The following is a 26596-nucleotide window of genomic DNA, read 5'->3' on the forward strand; positions in this document are numbered from 1 at the left end:
GTTTTTATGTGTAAAAATCAAATCTAGGTGTATTTATAAAAAATTATTTTAAGTCAAATGATTTACCTTGTTTCACTGTAAAAATCTGGTAGTTTGATTTATATTGTCTCATTTTATCGATTAAAACTTTCAGAACTACATAACAAAAAGATCAAAAAAGTACAAAGAATAGTAACCAATTCTTTTCCATTACAAAGTATATTGAAATTTATTTTGAACCTTTCATTGACATTGATTCATTTAGTTTAGAGTTGAGAACTAGGTAGAAATTGTTTGAAAAGATATGATGTTTCAGGAAGCATGTCACTTAGTGGAGATTGGATGTTTTGAAAAACATTATTTGCTTCATGCTACTTTTGGATCTCAAGTGTGTTTTATTTGACTCTTGAGCCTTTAGAGAACAAACCTTATTATTCTTTACTATATCAGATAGCCAAACTATTTAACCAAACTAGAATTGCTTTTAGTTGCATTTTCCTTGGTGACTGAGAGTTCCATATATTTTGTAAGTGTTTATACATAGAAGGAATGAATGTTTCTTAATGCAATGTTCTTTTCATTTTATCTGATTCCCTTCTGTCTCAGGTACAAACAGGTACTTCAGGCAAGTGGCATCTGAATTTGGATTAAAGATTTCTTTTGTTGATTGTTCCAAAATCAAATTACTAGAGGCAGCAATTACACCAGAAACCAAGGTAACTCAGCTCATTTTCAGTTTTGCCTGTTTTTCCTTCGATGTTTTGTTTTCATCATTTCTGTTTACTAGAGGATATAATTTAATGTGAATAACAAATTTTATTTTATGCCATTGGAAACATCAACAAAATTAAGATAGACTGTCATCTCCGGGGTGTTATAGCATAATGGTAGTACATGATTTCTGGAGTAGAATTCAAATTGTGATTCTGTTATCTTAGTTAGTATATTATCTTGGGCAAATTATTTAACCAAAGTCTCAGTTTCTTCATTTGCAAAATGGAGATAATTATACCGGTTTTATAGAAACGGGAGTGTGAGAATCAAATGAGATAATGAATATGAAATGCTTAGTATAGTTCCTGGATACATGGTAATTGTTAAAAAAATTTCTATGCAGGAGCACCTAATTTTTAACTGCATAGCCAAAAGAGTATTGGTAACAGAAGTCATCACAGAGATTGGACTATAGAAAAAGAAGCCTGCCAAACCCCCAAACTCGAAGCACAGTGGCTTTGCCGGGCTGTAAGGGATGCTGCCCAGATACTAGTTAGATGTGGAGAATAGGCCACAAGCAATCTTTAGCTTCCATCCTGGGAAATTTGTATGCCACCGGAAGGTGTTTTGTGTCTGAGTGAATGGCATATGTGATATTCTTTCTTGGGACCTTATTTAAATTCTGTGTGGATAAAAGAAGGACCAGTGTCTTTTATAAGTCAGCTGTTTACAACTTTTTGCTAATGATTAAAAGGTTAGAATTGTACCCAAGATTATGTTGCAATGAATGCTAAAAAATAAATATCTTTTCATGTACAAATAATTACTTTGCACATTAACATGGTTGAGCTTTTGGTAATTAAGGTTTGTTTCCAGAAGAACTTGTTTTTTATCTTGCTTGGGAGAAAAGTCACATTAAAATAGCTGGTCTGAGTCTTTTTTTTTTTTTTTTTTTTGAGACGGAGTCTCACCCTGTCACCCAGGCTGTAGTGCAATGGCGCAATCCCAGCTCACTGCAAGCTCTGCCTCTTGGGTTCAAATGATTCTCCTGCCTCAGCCTACCGAGTAGCTGGGATTACAGGCGCCCATCACCATGCTCAGCTAATTTTTGTATTTTTAGTAGAGATGGGGTTTCACCTTGTTGGCCAGGCTGATCTTGAACTCCTGACCTTGTGATCCGCCTGCCTCAGCCTCCCAAAGTGCTGCGATTACAGGCATGAGCCACCGTGCCGGGCCCTGGTCTGAATCTTTCTAAGGGAGGAAAGCAAATTATGAGTACAGTAAGTCTTGTCAACAGAATTTTATATAGTGACTCTACCAACTTGAATTAATACCTTTTCCTTCCTAAAATATCAGGTTTTTCACTTGAAGTAGAATGTTTAAGTCCATGTAAAACCTACTTTTTATTTATTTGGTAATTTTTATTTTTTTTATTATCAGTAGGAATAATAAATTCTTACCAGGAATAATTTTTATAGATTCTTTAAATAATTCAAGATTTTTGTAGAATATGTATTATTTAACCATCTTATCTTTTCCAGAGTAAAACTCTAAAGTCAGAAGAGTTTAAACCAGATCTCTTGCCCATTTAAATAACAGGTAATAAAAAAAGAATCAGCTGGGCACAGTGGCTCATGCCTGTAATACCAGCACTTTGGGAGGCTGAGGCAGGAGGATCACTTGAACCAGGAGTTCAAGATATATAGCGAGACCCTTTCTCTGCAAAAAAAAAAAAATAATAATAATAATTGGCCGAGCATGGTGGCACATGCCTGTAGTTCCAACTACTGGAGAGGCTGAGGTAGGAGGATCACTTGGGCCTGAAAGGTCGAAGCTGCCGTTAGCTGTGATCATGCCACTGCACTCTAGCCTGGGCAACAAAGTGAGACCCTGCTGCTTAAAAAAAAAAAAGAAAGTAATTCAGTACAATGGCATTTCGTTCAACAAATAGAATTCTTTTCTTTGGTCTTTTTGATAACTATCAAGCATCTACCATGTGTCTGAATTGTGGTAGGTTTTGAGATATAAAGGTCATTGTTACTTTTTAAGTAGGCGGTAACCACGTTTTCTGTTGTGGGTGTCACTTTTCTTCTTTAGTCTAAAGCCCATGCTCTTCAAGTCTTAGATACTTATTCTATAGTTTCTAGAGTTTCTGGCATTAAGTTCATATTAAATATATTTTTGGCATCATAGGGATAATTCTCTTTCATTAAAATTCTAGGATGTATTCTTACACAATCTATGTTATTCATCTCTGAGACAAAATTTCCAGACACTGAGCTGTCTTTGGAATACACTTTCTTTTTTAAGAAAAGTACAATAATTAACTTTAGTACTTTTCTGTTTACATGTACGTTATCTCACTTGATCTTTACAAAAAATTCTGTAAGATAGGTATTACCAACCCAATTATACAGATCAATAGGATACATTACATACCTACGGCTTCAGAAATTTGCAGGTAAGGCTGGGATTCAGATTTGAACCTCCCAACATCATCATCCATGTGTTTCCATTATACAATGTAGCTTCCCAGATTGTTACAATATATGAGATGTATGTTTGTAAAGTATATTTTTACAAACTACTGTTATTTGCTGAATTATTTTAGCTTGTTTGGATCGAAACCCCCACAAACCCCACCCAGAAGGTGATTGACATTGAAGGCTGTGCACATATTGTCCATAAGCATGGAGACATTATTTTGGTCGTGGATAACACTTTTATGTCACCATATTTCCAGGTAAATGAAAATAATTTTTTTTGGCACAATTAGTAGACCACATATATCTGTAATTAGGAAAGAAAGGACTTGCTTAAATTAAAATCATGATCAAATTCATGAAATCTAATCATAATTAATTATTTACTGGATCGAGAATTAAATTTGGACCTCTTCTACCATTAGTTAATATCTTTTCAAACCTATGTTAATATCCTCTATGTTACTTTGTGTTTTTTATTTATTAAAGCTTACCAGTTCTCAGGGCTGTGCGTGGTGGCTCACGCCTGTAATCCCAGCACTTTGGGAGGCCGAGGCGGGCGGATCAGGAGATCAGGGATCAAGACCATGGTGAAACCCCGTCTCTACTAAAAATACAAAAAATTAGCTGGGCGCAGTGGCGGGTGCCTGTAGTCCCAGCTACTCGGGAGGCTGAGGCAGGAGAATGGCATGAACCCGGGAGGCGGAGCTTGCAGTGAGCTGAGATGACGCCAGTGCACTCCAGCCTGGGTGACAGGGTGAGACTCTGTCTCAAAAAAAAAAAGCTTACGAGTTCTCTTAGAGTGTGTAAACTCTGAAGAAATGGCCTTATTATGTGATTGTATCTGCTAATACCTTATGCATAGTAAGGACTTGAATGTTTATGCATTGATTACAAATCAGTCATATTTTTCAGTCACCTTGAATATTTTTATATATATTCTAAAAGAAAAGTGATGCTCAATGATTTCAGTATATATTATACATATTATTTCTCTTCTTCTAGTTTTTATTCCTTCAGCACTCCATATACTATGCCTAGATCTCTTTAACTTATTATTATTTTGAACTTTTACTTTATTTATTTTACATTATAGCTGTAAGTATTTATAGTGCTCTTATGTTAGTCTCTTTGGGTGGCCATAACAGAATACTATAAACTGGGTGGCTTACAAACAGCAATTTATTTCTCACAGTTCTGAAGGCTGGGAAGTCCTCAATCAAAGTGCCAGCAGATTCAGTACCGGTGAGGGCCCACTTTCTGGTCCATAGATGGAGCCTTCTCGCTGTGTCCTCACATGGTAGAAGAGACAAGGCAGTTATCTGGGGCCTCTTTTATCAGGGCACTGTATTAGTCCATTCTCACACTGCTATAAAGAAATAATCCGAGACTGCGTAATTTATAAAGAAAGAGGTTTAATTGGCTCACAGTTCTGCAGGCTGTACAGAAAGCATGATGCTGGCATCTGCTTGGCTTCTGGGGAGGCCTCAGAAAACTTACAATAATGGCAGAAGGCAAAGGGGAGCAGGCACAACACATGACCAGAGTAGGAGCAAGAGAGAGAACGAGGGGGAAGGTGCTACACACTTTTAAACAACCAAATCTCACAAGAACTCACTCACAATTGTGAGGACAGTCCCAAGGGGAGATGACTCTAAACCATTCATGATATATCCACCCTCATGAACTAATCACCTCCCTCCAGGCCCCACCTCCAACATTTGGGGATTACAACTCAACATGAGATTTGGTGGCGACACAGATCCAAACCATATCAGGCAAAAATCACCCTAATCACCTCCCAAAGGCCCACCTCCTAATCATACTAGTGATTAGATTTCAATCTATGAATTTTGGAGGACACAAATGTTCAGACCATAGCAGCTCTCTTTAAAGATTTCTTTCGCTACCTAGCCCCCTCTGCATTTGTTTCCTCCCCAGACCACCCCTCCCATACATCTATCCTTTCCTTTTTTCTCTGTCTTGTGTCTAGTTTCATCCTCTTTTGTGTTTCACTTTCTTTTGTAGATCACTTTGGGATCTCTTTATAATTAACTTGTTTCCTGCCTTTTCCACACAAGTTCTCCCTCTCTTTCCTCTGAGTAACCCAACTCTTTCCTTTCCTTGTTAGGAGATACCTTCTTCCTGCTCTTTTCTTCCTGCCTGTACCTTGTCATACTTAGTACACTTCCTGTAGTTCATCTCTATTCTGCAGAGTTCCTGAAAACCAGCTCATTTTCTCTGGCTCTTCAATTGGGCAGATGTTTACAGGTTTTATTGTTTACATTTCCCCCCTTCTGTTCTGGGTCCCTGAAGTTGATCCAGGTTGCTGCCTCCATGTGACTGGCTGACTCCCTGGGCAGTTGGTATAAACCTGCTTTTCACCTTCCTCCATTTTATTCGAAGGCATTGTCATGGTTTATTTTCCTTTCCTGAAGCACACTTCCTGGCTACATTGCATTCAGACACCTTCGTGGGCCATCTGCCTTTGGCTCATAATGTATCTTTGATTGCTGATTTTATCAGGTAAAGCAGTCTGTTTCCCAGTGAAAAATCTTCTGGCATTGTCTATTTGGCATCTTCTATTTGTCCCAGGTGGTTTTCAGTGTAAGATTCCTTATCGCAACTCCTTAGCCCATATGCCACTTACATTAGGCCAGTTAATACAGCATAGGATAGCTTTAGCTGAGACACAGTGAGTCCTGTATATTCCCAAAAAGATTGCATACGTTTTGTAGCCTGGACCTGCCCGGGTTACTCATCAAACCTGGCCCTCTTTCTCCTATTACTGTCACTAACATAGGTCTAGTTTTTCTACCTTTTTGAAGCCCACATCACATTCCGCATGCCAATGATTGGAATTTGCTTCATTTCAATTTGGATTTATTCCAGCTGAAATACTCAGAATCGCATCATCCCTAAGTAGCCACATGTGTTGTTTCCATGAAGCAAATCTTCCTGAAAAAAATCTTCTCATTGTCTTACCTTAATGAAAATGGAATATATTCTCTTTCTTCCCAGTCTTTTGTCCTCTGGATCTTCTGTAAGTCTCACGAAAGGCAAAATAGACCTACCATCATCAAGTTTCAGAGTAGCACCTCTGGAGTCAGGCAGTCTGGGTGTGAGTCCTGGCTCTACCAGCTTTTTAATCTGAGGGATCTATCTCATTTTTCTTAGTCCCCTTTCCTCACCTGTATGATGAGAGCCATAAAGGTACTGATTTTATTGAGTTAGGTATTTTGTACACTGCTTCCCTGGGTTATATAAAGTACGTAGCATGATTCTCAGAAGATAATGAGATCAGAGGTGTTAGTGATTTGGTTTTTATTTTTCCTTCTCTTTTGGCTGTAGAGTTTACAGAATGTTAGCACTAGAAAAGACCTTAGGCCTCACCTACTTTGACCCCATCCCTTTAGGAACCCTAAATGAAAAGTTCCCATAGCCACCTATACTAATATCTTCCAAAGACTAAACAGCTCTAATGAGGGTGAAATAAAAACACACAGTTCTATGTTTAGGAAAATGTAAAGGGAAAGATGTTGATAATGTATGTTTTTGTTTGTTTGTTTGTTTTGAAATGGAGTCTTGCTCTGTCGCCCAGGCTGGAGTGCAGTGGCGCGATCTCAGCTCACTGCAACCACCGCCTCCCCGGTTCAAGCAATTCTCCTGTCTCAGCCTCCCGAGTAGCTGGGATTACAGGTTTCCACCACCACCCCCCGCTAATTTTTGTATTTTTAGTAGAGATGGGGTTTCACCATGTTGGCCAGGCTGGTCTCAAACTCCTGACCTCAAGTGATCCACCTGCCTAGGCCTCCCAAAGTGCTGGGATTACAGGCGTGAACCACCACTCCCGGCTTGACAGTGTTTTATTAAGTGGAAAGTCTACACTTTTCACTCTGGTTGTAAACAAATACATTTTAAGACTACAGGATTAACCTAGAGGACATTATGTTAAGTGAAATAAGCCAGGCACAGACAGACATATATAGCATGATCTCATTCATGTGTGGAATGTAAAAAATGTTGATCTCATAGAAGTAGTGAATAGAACAGCGGTTACTAGAGTCTGGGGAAGGGAGGGTGGAGGTGGGGAGGACAGAGGATGGTCAATGGGTACAAAGTTACAATTAGAAGGAGGAATAGAGGAATAAGTTTTGGTGTTCTACTGCACAAAAGGATGATCATAGTTACAATAAGATACTGTATATATCAAAATAGGAGAGAGGATTTTAAATGTTTCTACTACAAAGAAATGATAAATATTTGAGATGATGGGCATGCTAATTACCCTGCTTTTGATCATTACACAATTACACATGTATTGAGCATCACATTATACTCCATGACTTAAAGGATTAATTTACAGGAAAATTGGGTGAAAGAAAACACTTTTAAAAATTCCTTTTCATTTTTATTTTTCTTAATTCTCCCAGTTTCAGACATATTTATTTATTTATTTATTTATTTATTTGAGACAGAATCTTGCTCTGTCACCCAGGCTGGAGTGCAGTGGTGTCATGAAAAGCTCACTGCAACCTCTGCCTCCTGGGTTCAAGTGATTCTCCTGCCTCAGCCTCCTGAGTAGCTGGGATTACAGGTGCGTGCCACCATGCTCAGCTAATTTTTTTGTATTTTTAGTAGAGATAGGGTTTCACCATGTTGGCCAGGCTGGGCTCAAACTCATGGCCTCAAGTGATCCACCCACCTCAGCCTCCCAAAGTATTGGGATTACAGGTATGAGCCCCCGCACCCAGCAAATTTCTTTCTTTCTTGTTGTTTTTTAAGATAAAGTCTTGCTCTGTCACTCAGGCTGAAGTGCAGCGGCTTGATCATGGTCCACTGCAGCCTGAAACTCCTGATCTCAAGTGATCCTTCTGCCTCAGCCCCCTAAATTGCTGGGATTACAGGAGTGAGCCATTCTCCAACTCCCAGCCGTCTAGATTTCTTGTAATACCTAATACAATGTACATGCTTTATAAATGGTTGTTACACTATATTGTTTAGGAACTAATGACAAGAAAAAAGTCTGTACATGTTCAATACAGACACAACTGTTCATCTATTTTTCCAAGTATTTTTTTACCCATGGTTGGTTGAATCCATGGATGTGAAACCCACACATAGGAAGGGCTGAGTAATTAGGAATCAAGATCATGACAAACCCCAAATGTAAATAATCACAGCATACGTCATGAGGTTTTAATGATTAAAAATCTAAGCAGATGAGTTTATACTTACTCTACATAAAAATTGCTGAATGTTCATTTCAACTATTTTATGTGTTTAATGAGTCATAAAATACTAGAGTCTCTACTGTAGGTAATAAATTTAGAGTCCTGTCAGCAATTGCTATAAAGAAACAGGTTCAAGAGACCAGTTGACCTGGGCTTATCTGCGCTTTCCAAGAAACTTTTGCCTTCAGATTCAATACTGGATTCAATACTTTACATTTTTCTTTGGTGGGAGGGAGGCAAAGGAGAAATAATATCAGAGATCCTGGAAAATTTTAAGATGCACATACTTTTGCAAAGTTAGTATTGATTAGAATAAGAATGGAATTTATAATTGCAAATAGGCAGGTAATGAAGCATATTTTCAAATTGTTTCTCATTTAAAGTAAAAAACTTGTTCTTTCAGCGCCCTTTGGCTCTGGGAGCTGATATTTCTATGTATTCTGCAACAAAATACATGAATGGTAAGATGCATACTTTGAATGTTCTTTTTCATGGATAGGTGAAAATTGCATAGGGCTTGGCTTTTGATCCCTTTTCTTTGATTATTTTGTAGATTATTTCCTGTGACTCATAGAGAGAGTAAAAAAAAAAATCCTTTGATTAAATGTAGGATTTCATTAACAGTACACAAAACTATGCTCATGATTTATGAGAAGAGGATTAAAGTTGGCCATAAAAAGTTATGCTTTTATCTTGCTGACACCTTAAAGAAACATTTTGTTTTTATATAATTTTTATTTTCTTGTTTTAGACATAGCTTTTGCTACTGTCCAGTTGAATAAAGGTTACTTAAACTTATTTTATAGAGCTTTTTCCCTGAGAGTTTTTTCAAGTGAAAATCACATTTTGAAAATTATAAAATAAAGAGTAAACATAAATTGTTTCTAACTGAAATTTTTGTTTGTTTGTTTGTTTTTTGTTTTTAGGCCACAGTGATGTTGTAATGGGCCTGGTGTCTGTTAATTGTGAAAGCCTTCATAATAGACTTCGTTTCTTGCAAAACTGTAAGTATTAAAAAGTGCAGGTTCCCTATGACACTCTCAGTGACTACATTTGATATTTGTATTTCCACTAAGTGATGTGAAGTGATGGCATTCTAATAATTTATGAAGAAATGAAAAATAGAGGAGAAAAATTCTGATTTTTTTTATTTATTAATTTTTTTTTTTGAGATGGAGTTTCACTCTGTTGCCCAGGCGGGAGTGAAGTGGCGTGATCTCAGCTCACTGCAACCTCCACCTCCTGGGTTCAAGCGATTCTCCTGCCTCAGCCTCCTGAGTAGCTGGGATTACAGGTGCCCACCACCATGCCCAGCTAATTTTTTATATTTTTAGTAGAGACGGGGTTTCACCGTGTTGACCAGGCTGGTCTCAAACTCCTGACCTCAGGTGATCCACCTGCCTTGGCCTCCCAAAGTGTTGGGATTACAGGCATGAGCCACCGTGCCTGGCCAAAAAAATTTTTTCTGATTTTAGAGGAAAGTGTTATAAAAATAGTTATTGCAGGCTGGGCACGGTGGCTCATGCCTGTAATCCCAGCACATTGGGAGGCTGAGGCAGGTGGATCACTTGAGCTTAGGAGTTTGAGATCGGCCTGAGCAACATGGCAAAACCCTGTCTTTACCAAAAATACAAACCAATTAGCCAGGTGCAGTGGCATGTGCCTGTGGTCCCAGATACTCAGAGGCTGAGGCAGGAGGATTACCTGAGCCTGGGAGGCGAAGGTTGCAGTGAGCTGACATCGTGCCACTGCAATCCAGCCTGGGCAACAGAGTGAGATCCTGTCTCAAAAAACAAAAAACAAAAACGGTTATAGCATAGCAAGGCTTTATGATATGATATAAGAAATGAGTTTTTTTATTTTCATGTCCATCTTAATTATAATCATAATTTGATAAAGCCCTAGTGAATTTTTAGTTTCAAGACTTAATGGTTTTTTTTTCTTTTTTAAAATTACATTTGAAATGAGGGCTTTCATATACTATACCTTTTATATCACGAATGATGGTTAATTTTAAATAGCACTTACAGTATAAACTTACATTTTTCAATAGATGTCTAAACACCATTTCCTATTTACATTGCTTAGTTTATCTCCAGTATAGTTAAAGATTAAGCCATTGTAACTTGACAGGTAAAATATAAACATGATTAGGAATAAAAATGTCCTCCACAAGGGAAACTGAAACTTATTGCTTGATAAGTGTCCTTTGGTTTATAAAAAGTAGAAATGAAGTATATATCCTGGAGGCATGTGAAATCATTGACCGCTTTGCACAAAGGCTAAATAGAATATTAGTAGAATATTCAGTAATAATAGGACTTGAACTGCTGTTTTTCTCTGTATGTTAAAATAATTTTTCAAAGAAATACAAGGTTAGGCTATGAACAATTTATGATTTTATTAAAATCATAGAAAGGACTACTTATCTTCATATTTGAGAAGTTTATATCATTGTGCTTTTACTTAGTTTTCAGCATATTTGCTTCCCCTCATTTTAAAGTAAATTTCTCTAAGCATATTCTATGCTTTGTTCTTCTGCTTCTGATTTGATATATTATTTTCCTCCTAGAACTCAAACATTGAGCTTTACACCTAGCTTCTGAGAGTCACTGTAATGGAAAAGAGAAGCCAGATAATTTCTTGGCCATACCCTGCCTTCAAACTTATCCAGGATGTGTTCATTTTGCAGCTCTTGGAGCAGTTCCATCTCCTATTGATTGTTACCTCTGCAATCGAGGTCTGAAGACTCTACATGTCCGAATGGAAAAGCATTTCAAAAACGGAATGGCAGTTGCCCAGTTCCTGGAATCTAATCCTTGGGTAGAAAAGGTTATTTATCCTGGTATGTTAATTTGATTTCTAAGCAGATCTACTAGGATTTCAGCAGTTATCCTGAGCATCGTGTTTATGTAACATTTATTTGTAAGTTAGGTGCTTTCACGTATTGTTTTTGTTCATTTATTATTGAGCACTGCCATGTGTCAGGCTCTGTGGTGGGTCAGGTGGAAAGAAGATAGACCTGGTCTCTACTGTTGTATTGCCTCTAGTTTAGTGGATGCTTGGATAGTAGAAAATCAGTTTTATGCATTAGTTGTTCCTGTGGTGGTCTGTGATTTGAAGGCTTGTGTATACCTATTCAAAGATTTTAACATTAGACTTTTCAGTTGATTTGCTTATAATCTTGTCTGTCTGCTATTCAGCATTAGCTGTCACTTTAATCTGATAGAGGTTTGTCCCAGTTGAGACTTGATATTAGGTGCTAAAATTCCCCTGAGGTTCTCTCTCTCTCTTTTTTTTTTTTTTTTTTTTTGAGACGGAGTTTCACTCTTGCCCAGGCTGGAGTGCAATGATGCAATTTCAGCTCACTGCAACCTCTGCCTCCCGGGTTCAAGTGATTCTCTTGCCTCAGCCTCCCGAGTAGCTGGGATTACAGGTGCCCGCCACCACGCCCAGCTATTTTTTGTATTTTTAGTAAAGACGGGGTTTCACCATGTTGGCCAGTCTGGTCTCGAACTCCTGACCTCAGGTGATCTGCCTGCCTTGGCCTCTCAAAGTGCTGGGATTACAGGCGTGAGCCACTACGCCCAGCCCCCTGAGGTTCTCTCCTGTATTTCTCTCCTGTATTTTTATTCCTTCACCTCTTCCAGCATCTAGAAAGTCTTCTGTGGAGTTGGCTGACTTACATCTTACTTTTTGAATTTATTTTTACCAGTCTTTTAAGCTGTGGTGGTCCTAAGTAGTTCTTTTCTTTTTAGATCCTTTTGAGGGTTCTAGCATCTAGAATATATAGAAAAATTAAGACTGGAATTTCACTAGGAAATTCACAAGGAATTTAGAGAAACCAAAGCGAAATACATATGAAACTAAATGCCCTAAAGGTACTTTAGGTAAAGAGCTGTTGATTGATATATATTTTGGATGGAGGGAGAGAGAAGAGTTTTGAGCTATGCCATGAAGAATGGGCAGCATTGGTTAAAAGGGCATAGACAAGGTATTGGAGATTTATTCAAGAAATTTTTATTAAACGCCAGCTATGAGCCAGGCTTTGCACTAGGAACTGGGATCCAATTAGTAACAAAAGAAATGGATTTGCCCTCATGGAGCAACTCTGGTGGCTAAGACAGATACTAAGCAAGAAATTACAGGATATAATTAACAAGGGAAGTCCAGGTTGAAGGGACAGCATGTGCAAAGGTCCTGAGATGAAAGGGAGTGCAGTGGTGCTGGCATAAAGAAAGCTGAAGAGGGTAGAAAAGATGAGGCAACATGAAGCTGGAGAGATAGGGGCCCAAGCAAGTAGTCAGATGTGAGCATGGCATAATCCTCGTCTTAGGCTTATTTGCAGTTAAGTAGACAGTGAAAAATACCACCCTCCCCCCCCAAAAATTACATGTTTAATTCTAAAATAAGACTTATGATACCTTATGATTACAGGGCTGCCCTCTCATCCACAGCATGAGTTGGTGAAGCGTCAGTGTACAGGTTGTACAGGGATGGTCACCTTTTATATTAAGGGCACTCTTCAGCATGCTGAGATTTTCCTCAAGAACCTAAAGGTAAACTTACAAAATAGGTTTAAAATTGTAGGAGGTAAGGCCTTACAGCAGTTCACTATCTCTCACTTCTACTCAAGCCAGATAATGTTTTTGTATCTGCAGGTTACACTCATAAACCTCTTTATCATGAAATGCATTGGGTTGAAAACAACTTAAACAACAATGTAGCAGACATCTAAATATGTTCACTTACTTAACTCTCCACATACTACAATCAGTTTGGAGACACAGAGTATTCTAATGCATTTATTTAAAAGTGAACCCCTTTTTTCAGATGAAATAGGTAAAACCTCGAAGTAGTGTGCAGTTAGTGCACTGCACAAGGGCTGTTCTAAAATCCATCCTGTGAATGGCTTTCCAAACCCTGTGCCTCCTAAGCTGCATCTGACTGGGGTGAGGCCTTTGTCTAATTTTCAAAAAGCCAGGAGGAGGCTCTCAGGGGCCTTGAGCAAGAGGCCTGTCCAACTCCATACACTGGGCTTAACCTTGAGCTCATGCAGTTTATATACTACAGAATAGATTAACAGAAAGCTGCCAGATTAGTCAAAGTGTTCCTGGTGTCACCTTAATTTAATACATTTACCAAAGTAACTTTTAAAACATTTGTAAAGTTTTATGACACTATCACACTCAACATAAAAACAGTGGTTTTTTTTTTTTCCCCTATTCCAGCAGGGATTTAAAGGATGTATTTCATAAGTGATATATATTAACAAGGAAGTATGTATAACTTGGGAAGCATTTAGAGATTTTTTTATTTAAGTGGTAACCACAGAGCAAAGTCTCAAATGCAATAATTTTTTTTTTTTTTTTTTTTTTTTTAGGCAGAGTTTCACTCTTTTGCCCAGACTGGAGTTCAGTGGCATGATCTCGGCTCACTGCAACCTCCACCTCCTGGGTTGAAGTGATACTCCTGCTTCAGCCTTCCAGGTAGCTGGGATTACAGGTGCGTGCCACCATGCTCAGCTAATTTTTGTATTTTTAGTAGAGATGGGGTTTCACTAGTTGGCCAGGCTGGTCTCGAACTCCTGACCTCGGTGATCCGCCTGACTTGGCCTCCCAAAGTGCTGGGATTACAGGCATGAGCCACTGTGCCTGGCCTAAAAACATTTATTTTTAGATTTTAGTATTTTTATTTTACTAGAAAATCTAAATTCATGTTTTCTTTGCTATAGCTATTTACTCTGGCCGAGAGCTTGGGAGGATTCGAAAGCCTTGCTGAGCTTCCGTAAGTATAGTTCTGTTTTTCTCAGTATTTTAAATTTGATGTCAGCTTTAATGATTGGGAAAGAAATATGATAAGGTCAGGGATAATTCAAGATATTTAACAATAAGAATAGCAGGACATTAATCAGAATGGACTCTAACCCTGTCAAGATGGAGACCCTGATAAAATCTCATGGAGGGCTTCTTGTTAGTGAGCGGTGTCCTCCCAAATGTTGCTTCCTTCCCTGCTCTGTCAAAAAGAGATTCCAGCAGTAACTGTATTCTAGGATCTCTGATCTCTGACCTCTAAGCAAGGGCCACATGTTCTACCCTACTCAGCCTTAGAGGGGATTGGAGACTTTGTACTAGAAAAGCTGTTTTCAAGGCTCTTTGGGAAACAGAAAATGTGTCTCTGATGAAACTCCTCCATGCCCTTGATTGTTGGAGAACAGCCCTACTAGATACTGTCAAATCTTTTGTTTTCTGTTCTCTGTAGGATAAACCTTTAATGTCTTCATGTTGTGTACAAGATAAATCCAAACCCTAACTTGGTACCAGGCCCTTCAGTATCTAACCCAATCAATTCATCTAGTTTTTTCAAAGCATCAGAGGATATTGGTACAAGAAGCAGTCTAAGATCATACAGTCCAGCAGCTTATTTTACAGGCAAGGAAACAAAGATCCAGAAAGTTGAGCTGATTGACTCAAGTGTCACACAGGAACGTGTTCGCAGCTTCACTCTTGGATTTGCATCAGAAACAGTGAGGGGAGGTAAAAGGTGCTTGGATCTAGATTTGAGATCTGCTTCCACCAATTAGTTAACCTTTAAACTTCCATTTTTTAACACATAAAATGAGATTAATAATTAATGATTTTCGGCCTGGTGCAATGGCTGACGCCTGCAATTCCAGTACTTTGGGAGGCCGAGGTGGGCCACTTGAGGTCAGGAGTTCAAGACCAGCCTGGCCAACATGGTGAAACCCTGTCTCTCCTAAAAAAAAAAAAAATTATCCGAGTGTGGTGGTGTACACCTATAATCCCAGTTACTTGGGTGGCTAAGGCACGAGAATCGCTTGAACCCAAGTGATGGAGGTTGCAGTGAGCCGAGGTTGCAGCAAGCCAAGATCGCACCACTGCACTCCAGCCTGGGTGATGCAGCGAGACTCTGTCTCAAAAAAGAACCAAAACAACAACAAAAAATTAATGATTATCATTTATTGATTACCTGTCCCCCCAAGCATTCCTGATATATATATTACCTTTATTATATGCTACTATGACCATATGTTGTAATTACTGCAGGGTTAAGTCAACATCATAACCTAACTATTTTTAACTGTACTAAATGTATACGGTGTATTTCTGTGTCTTCATTTTTATAAACATTTATGGAATAACTTGTTTTGCAAGCATTGTGTGGAGAAATGTCAGGTCCCACCAAAGTTTAGGCCTATTTTCTGTCTTTGTATAGGAGTTTACAGTTAGACCAAAAGTCAGGCAGTCTCACCAAGTTAAAAAAAAAAAAAAGATGTCTAAATAATGACTTGAAATAATTCATGTAACGCAGATTTTTGTTAGTCTTTCCGGAAGATGCCTGCTAGTAAGTTTGGATGCACAAGAGGGCACACTCAGCATGTGAAATGGGTTTGTTTTTCACAGTAATGAAATGTGTATTACGTTAAGACTCTCTTGTTTAAAAAATTGTCTTAAAATAAATCTCTCCTGATTTATTTAGGGATTTTTGTTTAAAGTTGCTTGGCCCCCAGACACTCTGGTTTAGGCTATAACCCCGATGCCAGAGGATGAGTGGATTTAGGTCAGGGCTTGTCTGTTCTATCACCCTTCATTCTGTGTCTCCCAACTCTGCTGCTACTAGTGCAGCATTGCAATATGGGAGGAAGGAAGTGAAGCTAATGTGTATTAGCTTAGTCTCCCAGCCTCACAACACATGTAACTCTGTGACCTTAGAAAAGTTACTCATCCTCCCTAAATCTCAATTTCCTCAATTTTAAAATGTGGACAACACTCTACATAGCTCTTAGGTTTGTTGCGAGAACATGGGGAAAAAAATCCCTAAGCTAATGCCTTCGTTCATACTAAGTACCCAATAAACGTTAGCACCTACTATGAACTATTATCTTTTATTAGACATCTCTACTACATTCCAAGTGCTTAGAAGTGCTTTATACATGTTCCTTCAAATTAATGTCTGTGACAAACCTTTAAGACAGGTGTTATATCCAATTTTTATTCATTAAAAAAATGAATTAATGCACACAAACCACCTAGTAGAGTATCTGTCTCATGGTAAGCACACAGTAGATGCATCTATTATTATTTCAGATAAGGAAATAGGCACTGAGGATGAGTAACTTTTATAAGGCCACATAGGCAGTATGTGGAAGGGCTAAGATTCATACCCAAGTTTGTTGGTCTCTGAGACCTGAGTTCTTATTTCTACATGTACACACTCTTTTAAGGAATTACGAGTCTCCCAGGGCAGAACATTTTAAGATGGATGTTTGTATCTAAACAACACTTTAGTAAAGTGACAAAGGAAGATATCCATCACTCAGACCACAGCTGAGATTTTTTTTTCCCCATGGCTCTCATGTAAGAGAGGAGAAAGCAGCTTAGGTATTGATTTTGCTGGTGGTGTGCAGGGAAAGGAAGAGTGTTGGTTGTAATACACATACTGGGGTTAAGTAAGATGCTAAACCTCTCCTCCATTATTCTTCACAGAAATTTCTCCTTCCCTGGAACTTGGCAGTCTTTTTGTCTATACTTGTTTGGCATTGTTTATATAGACTATTTTGTTTTGTGAATTGTCATCGCTTTTACCTCCTGCTTTGTTATTTAGGTTAAAGAAAATATCTCATTCTTCTTGGTTTCCCAATTTTTACTGCAGTGCTTGACATATTATGGGTGGTTTTCCTTTACATCTGTTGATGATGGTAATGGGCTGCTAGATCGTTTGAAAAATCCTTCCAGGCCTCTATGCCAGGAGTTATATTGTGGAATTCTGAATGCTTACTGGTTGCTACTAGTGATTCTTGGTCATCTTTCTCCGATGTGCCTCAGAAGGTCTAGCTCTGGATTGATTCAGAGGAAACTAATTATGACAGGCTCTTGGTCCAAGAGACCTCTTATAAGTAGCAATCCAGTAGGTTGGTCATGGAGTACATGATTTCTGGCCAAACTTCATTTAGGCAGGTATTAAAATATACACATTGGGGAGGCTATGCCTTACCCTACTGCATGGGGGTACTTGACACACACTTTCAGTATTTGGATTGAGCATATCTTACCAATGGTATAAACAGGATAAAAACAATCTTGCTTTTCATTTAAAATCATAGCTAGAAGAGATAAGTTTCGTAATTTTCTCTTTTTTTGCCTGTGAATTATAGGGGTATGCAAAATTTGATATTTGGACCAGAAAAATGTTGAGGGTAATTGCAGTTTATGAGACAGAAACATGCCTCCACTGACACAATATAGTGATCAAAAATTTGCTCATGTCTTCTTTCAGGGCAATCATGACTCATGCATCAGTTCTTAAGAATGACAGAGATGTCCTTGGAATTAGTGACACACTGATTCGACTTTCTGTGGGCTTAGAGGATGAGGAAGACCTACTGGAAGATCTAGATCAAGCTTTGAAGGCAGCAGTAAGTCTTATTATTGTGTGTGTGTGTGTGTGTGTGTGTGTGTCTGCTTTATCTTGGGCATGGGGGGTCACTATATTTACAAAGTGTGGTCTCACTGTGAACTCTAAAGCTTTTCTGTTCCTGTAATAGACCAGGTGTATAAATAAACGTATAGGGAGCTCAGTCAAAGTGCATATTTAAAGGATGGTAGTATTCAGAAAAAGGACTTCTTGAGGAGTTGAAGCTATGGCCTATATGTTTAATAACATATTTTTCTTGTGCACTGTTATTATAGCACCCTCCAAGTGGAAGTCACAGCTAGTATTCCAGAGCTGCTATTAGAAGCTGCTTCCTGTGAAGATCAAATCTTCCTGAGTAATTAAATGGACCAACAATGAGCCTTTGCAAAATTTTCAAGCGGAAATTTTAAGGCACCTCATTATCTTTCATAACTGTAATTTTCTTAGGGATCATCTCTGTTAAAAAGTTTTCTGTATGTCATGTTATAATTACAGGTCAATTCTGTTAATATCTTTTTGTTAATTTTGCTCTATGTTTGCCTCTGAAGGAGGTGAGATTTGTGCTACTTTGGGAGATTATGTTCTTTTTTCATGTCTAAGATTTATTTTGATCATGTTTATAATATAATGGTAATTCATTTTTGATGTTTTGTGAAGAATTTAAATTTAAACGAATGTTCTTAAATCAAGTGTGATTTTTTTGCATATCATTGAAAAGAACATTAAAAGCAATGGTTTACACTTAGTTACCATAAGCCGAAAATCAAATACTTGAAAAGTTTACTGTGAAATTCTACTGATTTAAGACTATACTTAATATTTTTAAAAAAATAAATCAGCTGGGCGCGGTGGCTCACGCATGTAATGCCAGCACTTTTGGAGGATAAGGCGGGCGGATCACGAGGTCAGGAGATTGAGACCATCCTGGCTAGCGCAGTGAAACCCCCATCTCTACTAAAAATGCAAAAAAAATTAGACGGACGTGGTGGCGGGTGCCTGTAGTCCCAGCTACTTGGGAGGCTGAGGCAGGAGAATGGCGTGAAACCAGGAGGAGGAGCTTGCAGTGAGCCGAGATCGTGCCACTGCACTCCAGCCTGGGTGACAGAGCGAGACTCCGTCTCAAAAAAAAAAAAAATCTAATTATCAAATGCATCCCATTGTGATATTCCTACATTATGTGACATTAACCTATATTCCTGGGTCCTTTTAATTCCCAACTACTGCTCTTAGAGGTCTTAGCCTTTTATGTTAATTTTTATAAATTCAATTAAATAAATATTATTCCCAAATCTTAGTGTTTGCAGATTAGTTATAAATCCTATCCAAGGTAGGTTAAAGGCCACCGTTTTACAGATAAATAGTACTTTTTATATTTTTATCTGAAATAGTGCATTTGTTGAGAATAAAAGAAGGTATGTTTAAAAATAGAATCTTTTGGGCCTGGTGGTACGTCCTTGTAGTCCTAGCTACTTGGACAGCTGAGGTGGAGGATCTCCTTGAGCCTAGGAGTTCCAGACTGCACTGGCGTCACTGCACTCCAGCCTGGGCGACAGAATGAGACCCTGTCTCTAAAAAAAATAATAAAATAGACTATTTTATAGTTGAATGTATAGTTAGCAAGTTATCATCTGAGCCATAAGTCAAAAATTAAATCTTAAAAATTGTTTTTATACTAAAGGTTTTTCATCTTATAATATATCTTGATATTGCCATTTGTTTCGGTTAAAATAATATCATACAGCCTGATGAATAACAGTGCTGTTTAGGAGGAGAATACATAAAAATATACATTCTTCTATATTATCCACACTCTTGAGTTATACCTATTGAGTCTGGAAATTCTGTCTCTAGAGGCAGTAGCATTTTGAGGCAGGTCCTATCTCACTATGGTTTCTGCCAGAACTGATTTCTTGCCATCTCAAGGCCTTAGGGCTGTGGAAATAAATGATCAACCAAATGAGAAAAGGAAAGGCTATTCTTAGCTTACTATAGCAAGGGAGTTAGCCACCATCACCTGGGTTTTGGCAGAAAGTCAAAGGCGGGCAGATGGGTGGAAAAGTTTTATAGCAGAAAAAAGGGAAGCCTTCAGATATGCCCTGGTTGAAGACTGTTGGCATAGGGAAGCCAGAAGCAGGTTGACTGGAGTCAGTGTTTCACAGTGGGCAGGTCTGTGTAATCCTACATCAAAGTCTAAGGAAGTTGAGAGGCCAAAGAGGCACCCAGTTTCTTAGAAAGAAACATTTAATAGGGATTTAGGAACAGAAGCCGTGACTATATCTTGGGCAGTGATGAGGCAAGTTGGTGGATCCCAGCATAATTACCCCCAAGACCTGGGACTTTTATGCCATAGGGAGAGGAGTGGTTGAAAAGGAATTTGTAAGACAATTATGATAACATCAAAGCTGTTTGACCTAAGGGCAGGATTTACTGTATGTATGAGTTTATCAAGGTGTCTTACTCTAAGGGCAGGATTTACAATAAGTACCTGCTCTTAAACAAGGTTCAAATAGATAAATTGGAATGAGGGTTAATCAGAAGCTAACAGGGCAGATTAGCATCCAAGATGGAGTTGCTTTGGCCTCTAGATGGGGCATCCTGTGCAATTTGCTAAGGTGCTTATTTGGCTTTCTCTGGTCCTAAGTTGGAAGCAGGGGCAAAATTAAAGAAACTGTCATTCATTCATTTCCTGACGATTCTGGGCCAATTGTTACACAAGTTATTGTTTAGCTTCCTGGATTGTCACTAAAGAAAGCAATCTGGTTTCCTGCAATTCTGACTTACAGCAGGCTGATCTCCTGGGTTGTTTATTGTTGATGAGGGTGTTGGTTTCTCGGGCAGCTTGCTGCAGGTTGTGGGTCGAATTTCTAATTTTACATATGGCATGGCCACTGTCCATTTCTATATTCAGTCTCTTAGGGCTTCTGGTGAGCAGTAAGTAACTACCATCGTGTTAGTCAAGGTTCTCCAGACTAACAGAGCCAGTAGGGCCTGTGCGTGTGTGTGTGTGTGTATAGAGAAAAATAGAGAGATAGAGATTTATTTTAAGAAATGGCTCATGTGATTGTGAGGCTGGCAAGTCTAAACTCTATTGTAGTCTTGAGTTTGAAATTTGCAGGGCAGACCATTCAGCTGAAAATACAGGCAGAGATTCTGTGATGCAGTTTTGAGGCAGAATAGCTTTCTTTAGGGAAACCTTAGTCTTTGCTCTTAAGGCCTTCAACTGATTGCATGAAACTCATCCACATTATAGAGATTAATCTCCTTTGCTCGAAGTCTATTTAAATATTAGTCACATCTAAAACATACTTTTACAGCAACATCTAGACTGGTGTTTGACCAAACAACTGGGCATCATAGCTGACACATAAAATTAACCATCACAACCATGTTCTAGGCACTGTTCCTCACTGCCTGAGAAGACACCGTTATGTTTATTAGGGTTTTTGAGTTTTATCCACAGCTTTTGGTTATCTGCAACCATGTCTCCCACCATTAACATAGTTCACACTGAGATGAGGATTCCCTATTTAACACTTGGTCCCAACTTCTTCACAGTCCATCTGGTTTTGTAGAGGGAACATAACTGGACATTCTGGTCAGGTTAGGTGAGGTCAGGCCTTCAGGACGCTATTTTCACTGAGTTGCTTTATAAGGCACATTATGCAAAATTCCATCAGCTCTTCTGTTCACTACATTCACTGTTGAAATTCTAAGAGTGAGACTGCTGTCTCACACCAAAGCCAGTGGGTACTATCTTCAGTAGGCACGCAGCATCATGTTTGTATTTGATCCAGCTAGATGACATGTAAGAGAAAACTTTATTGTGGACTCTGTAAAGTGTGACATTCGTTTGTGACTCAATTTGCTCATGTATTTGTTCCTGGGAGTTCATTACATAGCTAACTTCCAGCTGCTTTCAATTTACATCATAAAAGAAATGCATCATATTCTTCTCAGTGTCCTGGTAGTGCATTTTCCTTTAGTTTTTCAGTGAATTCTGTTGTAAGTAAAATGGATAAGATTGTTCATTATTTTGGATTATTTTGCTGAAGATGACCAGCTCTGAGATGTGAGGAGTAAATAAGAAAGTAACAGTAGAATCTGGAATATCTTTTAAAAATTAAGACATCATTTTTAACAGCAGAGTAGCCTTAAATGACCTGATTCCACAGAGGAGCCAGGAAACAGTATGAAACTACAAATTTATTTTGTAGAAATATGGAAACCTTAATACTATTAAGATGTAAATCTTAATACTATTAAGATGCAAATCTTAATACTATTAAGATGCAAATCTTAATAGTATTTTTATAAAGTGAAAACAATATGATCACTTAATTACTCAAGTGGAGCTGAAGAAAATTTCAGAGAAAAAAAAATAAAGCTTGGAATGCACTTTAGAAAAACACAAAAGGGAACACAAATGCTTCATAACAAATCTCTTAGGAGGCCAATATTGAAAGAAATAACAAAAGATGGTAAACATGATTAAACAAAATGTCATCAAGGAGTAACAAAAGTATTACTCAAAATAAAACTTCTCTTAGGAATTATCCAAAGAAAAGTAATTGTTTAAAAAAGAATTTCCACTTCTATACAACAAAAGAAACCCTGATTTCATTTATTTCACAATACAATACACATTTACTTAGAAAAAAATGAGTGCAATAAAAAATGAAATTGCTTTTAAATTGAAGAAAGGATTGCTATGTCTTCTTTTAAATAAACACATTTGATTCAATTTTGACTTATTGCTCACAAAATAAATTTATATTTATTACAGCGAGAACTGTCAGATATTGCAAACTTCTTTGTCTTTTGAATAGTGTGCCTTTAATAGAACACATATAGCATAGTTCTAGGGATTAGAGTCTTCTGACTTCATTACTATTTTTACAGTAATTTATATCTTGGTTTCTTCAATTAGAAAAAAAAATCGGGCCTGATTTTTTATTTCATTTACTAGCTCAGCTGTTCTCACACCTACCTGCTGAATTAGAAGGGACAAGTATAATCCATCTTCTTACAGAGAAGGAAAGGAAGGTTCAGAATGATTATGTGACCATTCCACATCATTTGACTAGCAAAAATAAGTGGCAGAGGCAGGGCTAGAATGTTGGACTTCAGATCTCTTACTTCTGTGTGCTAGTGCACCATTCTTAGTCCAGCACAGACAATTCTCAAACAGATTAGCAAACCACCCTCTTGAAATTGCAAGAATTGTTACCATGTGATCAAGGCATCATAATTAATGCAAACCCTAGTTTCTAGTTGGGAAAGAGATTAAGATGGAGACTTTGTAGTAAAAGATGGACATATATTTTATTCACATAGCTTATTTTATTTTGAATGAAAGAGCCAAGCAAACTCTAGCCTTGGCCTGTTCCTGAGGAGGTGATCTCTGAAATAAATGTGCTGCAGAGTTGGGGACATGGGGGCTGGCCTTTTATAGCCCTGTATTATTCAACCATTAGTTATGAGCTGGAGATGGGGAGGGACAGGGAAGTTGAAGGGGGAGGCATGGGAAACCTTCCTGGTGAAGTGGCTCTAGTCAGCAGATGGCAGTTCTCTGGTGGAGGGTAGACTGGTGCTGGGGCCTGGTAAAGGGAACCTTAATGGTGTGTTATAGCATCCAGTATAGGTAGTAATTTATGTCTCACCCATTTTATCTAACAACCTCTATAAACTAGCCTAAAAAAAGTAACTGTGGCTATAATGTTGTGGTTATTGGTGTATAATGAAATTGTTCACCCCTTCTTTCCTTCTTTTCTTCTTTCCCTCCTTCTGTAATAATGTTTTTCTATTTTGCAGAGGTAATTTTTTTTTTTTTTTGAGATACCGTCTTGCTTTGTCACCCAGGCTGGAGCACAGTGGTGCAATCATGGTTTGCTGCAGCCTCAACCTCCTGGGTTCCAGCAATCCTTCTGCCTCAGCCTCCTGAGTAGCTTACTACAGGCATGTGCCACCATGCCTGGCTAATTTTTTGTAGAGATGAAGTCCTACTATGTTGTCCAAACTAAAAGTAATTTTTTTTTCTAGAGAGTTTAGAGATTTAGGAGGAAAAGGTGGTCTTTAATAGGCTTTCTTTTTTTCCTGGGGTGGGGTGCAGATTCTTCCTCTGTTACCCAGGTTGGAGTACAGTGGCACGATCTCCAGTCACTGCAACCTCTGCCTCCCAGGTTCAAGCTATTCTCCTGCCTCAGCCTCACGAGTAGCTAGGATTACAGGTGTCTGCCACCACGCCCGGCTAACTTTTATATTTTTAGTAGAGATGGGGTTTTGCCATGTTGGCCAGGCTGGTCTCGAACTCCTGACCTCAGGTGATCCACACGCCTCGACCTCCCAAAGTGCTGGGATTACAGGCACGAGCCACAGCACCTGGCCTTTAATAGGCTTTCATAACAGAAAAGTAGACATCAGACTTTCTAAGTTCAAAACCTGGCTCTGGTGCTTACCAGCTAGCTGACCTTAAACTTAAACTATCTAAACTTTAATGTTCTTCCTCATAGGAAAAATGGGGCTAATAATGTTTCCTGACATAATGCATTTAAAGCATGGATGCATTAGGTGCTCAATAATTGTTATCTATCCCTTTGGCTTAGTAAAAACCATTGTCAAAGTTTTTGTGTATATGACTTTTAAGTTTTCTCTAAATTATATAGACAGTATTTTGAATATTGGAATCATGGCAAATAAAACTGTCCATCTAAATCTTGTCGTGGTTTAGATTTAGAATATTCTGTTGTTGTTACTAAGTAACAGACTGGTTATCCTGGGTTGGAGGGTGGTTCTCATTTTAGCCTAGCTACAAGCTGTTTTAACCAACTGGTGTGATAATTTTTTGGCTTTTTGTAAAAAATTGAATAGTGGAGAAAGAAATGCCAGAAGACCTGACTGGCATTTCTAGATGCCATGACCTAGAGAAATTGATACATAAAATTACATATACATACATATGTGTAGCTAATACAAATGATAGTAGATCACTTTGAAAATATAAAGCAAGCTTAAAGCTTAATCATCACCAAATAGCAACAACGACAATTGTAATATTATGGAAAGGTTTGAAATTGTTTGTGTCATAAAACGGCAAAGAAAGGAAATTTCCTGTTATATGTTTTTCATATTGCATGAATTTTTAGCATGGAACATTTAAAAATATTTAATGCCAGGTATCCTCTTGTGCTTTTGGTTCTCAAAAATCAAATACCCTTTGTAGAAGGCAAAATAACACAAATTGCAGAGTGATTTTGTTAAGCAATTAGAGTGGTTATCTCTTGTTCTTGTCTGACTAGCATCCATTTAACCTTTTTCAGGCAACATATATACAGTGGAAAGCTACTCTGTCCTCATTTTCAATCACTAGTTTAGTGGGGAGTCTCAGCATTGAGCACAGATTAACCAAGACCAATCTACATATCTAGTCTGGTCACAGTGATGGTTTTGAATGAACACTTGTTCTAGGTCAGTCCATTAAGAGTGAGTCTCTCATGCCTGTAATCCCAGCACTTTGGGAGGCCGAGGAGGGCAGATCAGGAGATCAGGAGATCAAGACCATCGTGGCTAACATGGTGAAACCCCATCTCCACTAAAAATACAAAAAATTAGCCAGGCGTGGTGGCAGGCGCCTGTAGTCCCAGCTACTTGGGAGGCTGAGGCAGAAGAATGGCGTGAACCTGGGAGGCAGAGCTTGCAGTGAGCCGAGATGGCGCCACTGCACTCCAGCCTGGGTGACAGAGCAAGACTCCGTCTCAAAAAAAAAAAAAAAAAAAAAAGAAGAGTGTGTCCCATAACTTTTATGGGAATTATCAGAAAAGATGCATTCTTATTCACTTGTGACTTGAACCTGAAAATGTGTGATGTGGAGCTGCTATATCTATCTCACCACCACAAGAAGAACTTCTATCTGAGAATGAAACCCCATGAAGAGGGCATCTCTGAGAGGTGGACAGAAACTGGACCCTGGTGATATTTTTTGAGATGTGCATCTAATTATCCCAGAAGCTGGATATATGCCAGCACATGTCAGTCACATGAGCCAATGCATTTCTTCTCCTTCTCTCTTCTTCCTCCTCTTCTTTCCCCTTTTTTTAGTTCTTATATTAAGCCCGTTTTTCTTTTGTTGTTTTTGTTGTTGCTGCTCTTAATAACTGAAAGTCTCATGTGATATTGAAATTAAAGGAACATTTACTTATAATGGATAATAGGAATCTACATATCTTCCAATTTTCATTTTTACAAGTTGTACCTAATAATGTCATCATATTTACAGGTATTGTGTATTAGTCAGGATTCTTCAGAGAAACAGAATCACTGGGATGTATGTGTGTGCACACATGTGTGTATAGAATTGGCTCACGCAGTTATGGAGGCTGGCAAGTCCAAAATCTGCAAGCAGGCTAGAGACCCAGATAACTGCAAGTAGAAGGCCATTTGCTGGAGAATTCCTTCTTGCTCAAAGAAGCTGATTTTTGTTCTATTTAGACCTTCAGCTGATTGGATGAGGCCCACTAGATTGTGGAGGGCAAACTACTTCATTCAAAGTCCACCGAATGTTAAACTCATCCAAAAACACCCTCGCAGAAACATCTAGAATAATTGTTTGACCAAATATCTGTGCATCATGGCTTAGAGAAATTTATGCATAAAATTAGCCATTGCAGATATCTAGTAATAATAATGGCCAATTTTTCTGTTTTAGCTCTTACTATTTCGTAAGTACCTGGATAAATATTTTATTTTTTATTATTT

The 26596-nt window shown here is 38.3% G+C and overlaps 1 protein-coding gene across 4 annotated transcripts in view; it reads left to right on the plus strand.

Annotated features, from left to right (window-relative positions):
• The window catches only part of CTH (cystathionine gamma-lyase), a 28584-nt gene extending 9713 nt beyond the window's left edge, over window positions 1-18871 (plus strand). For 2 of the 4 annotated variants that reach the window (NM_001902.6, NM_001190463.2), the window contains 9 exons: window positions 586-695; window positions 3305-3436; window positions 8814-8871; window positions 9337-9414; window positions 11103-11255; window positions 12848-12969; window positions 14145-14197; window positions 17708-17846; window positions 18121-18871. In NM_001902.6, the coding sequence (NP_001893.2) occupies window positions 586-695; window positions 3305-3436; window positions 8814-8871; window positions 9337-9414; window positions 11103-11255; window positions 12848-12969; window positions 14145-14197; window positions 17708-17846; window positions 18121-18147 (872 nt within the window). In that variant the 3' untranslated portion in view covers window positions 18148-18871. Of the gene's footprint in view, window positions 1-585; window positions 696-2153; window positions 2293-3304; window positions 3437-8813; window positions 8872-9336; window positions 9415-11102; window positions 11256-12847; window positions 12970-14144; window positions 14198-17707; window positions 17847-18120 lie in introns of those variants that run through there. The other 2 variants (XM_017000416.3, NM_153742.5) reach the window with 2 other exon arrangements.

This window comes from Homo sapiens, chromosome 1 (genome assembly GCF_000001405.40).
Source record: "Homo sapiens chromosome 1, GRCh38.p14 Primary Assembly".
In the NCBI taxonomy this organism is placed as follows: Eukaryota; Metazoa; Chordata; class Mammalia; order Primates; family Hominidae; genus Homo; species Homo sapiens.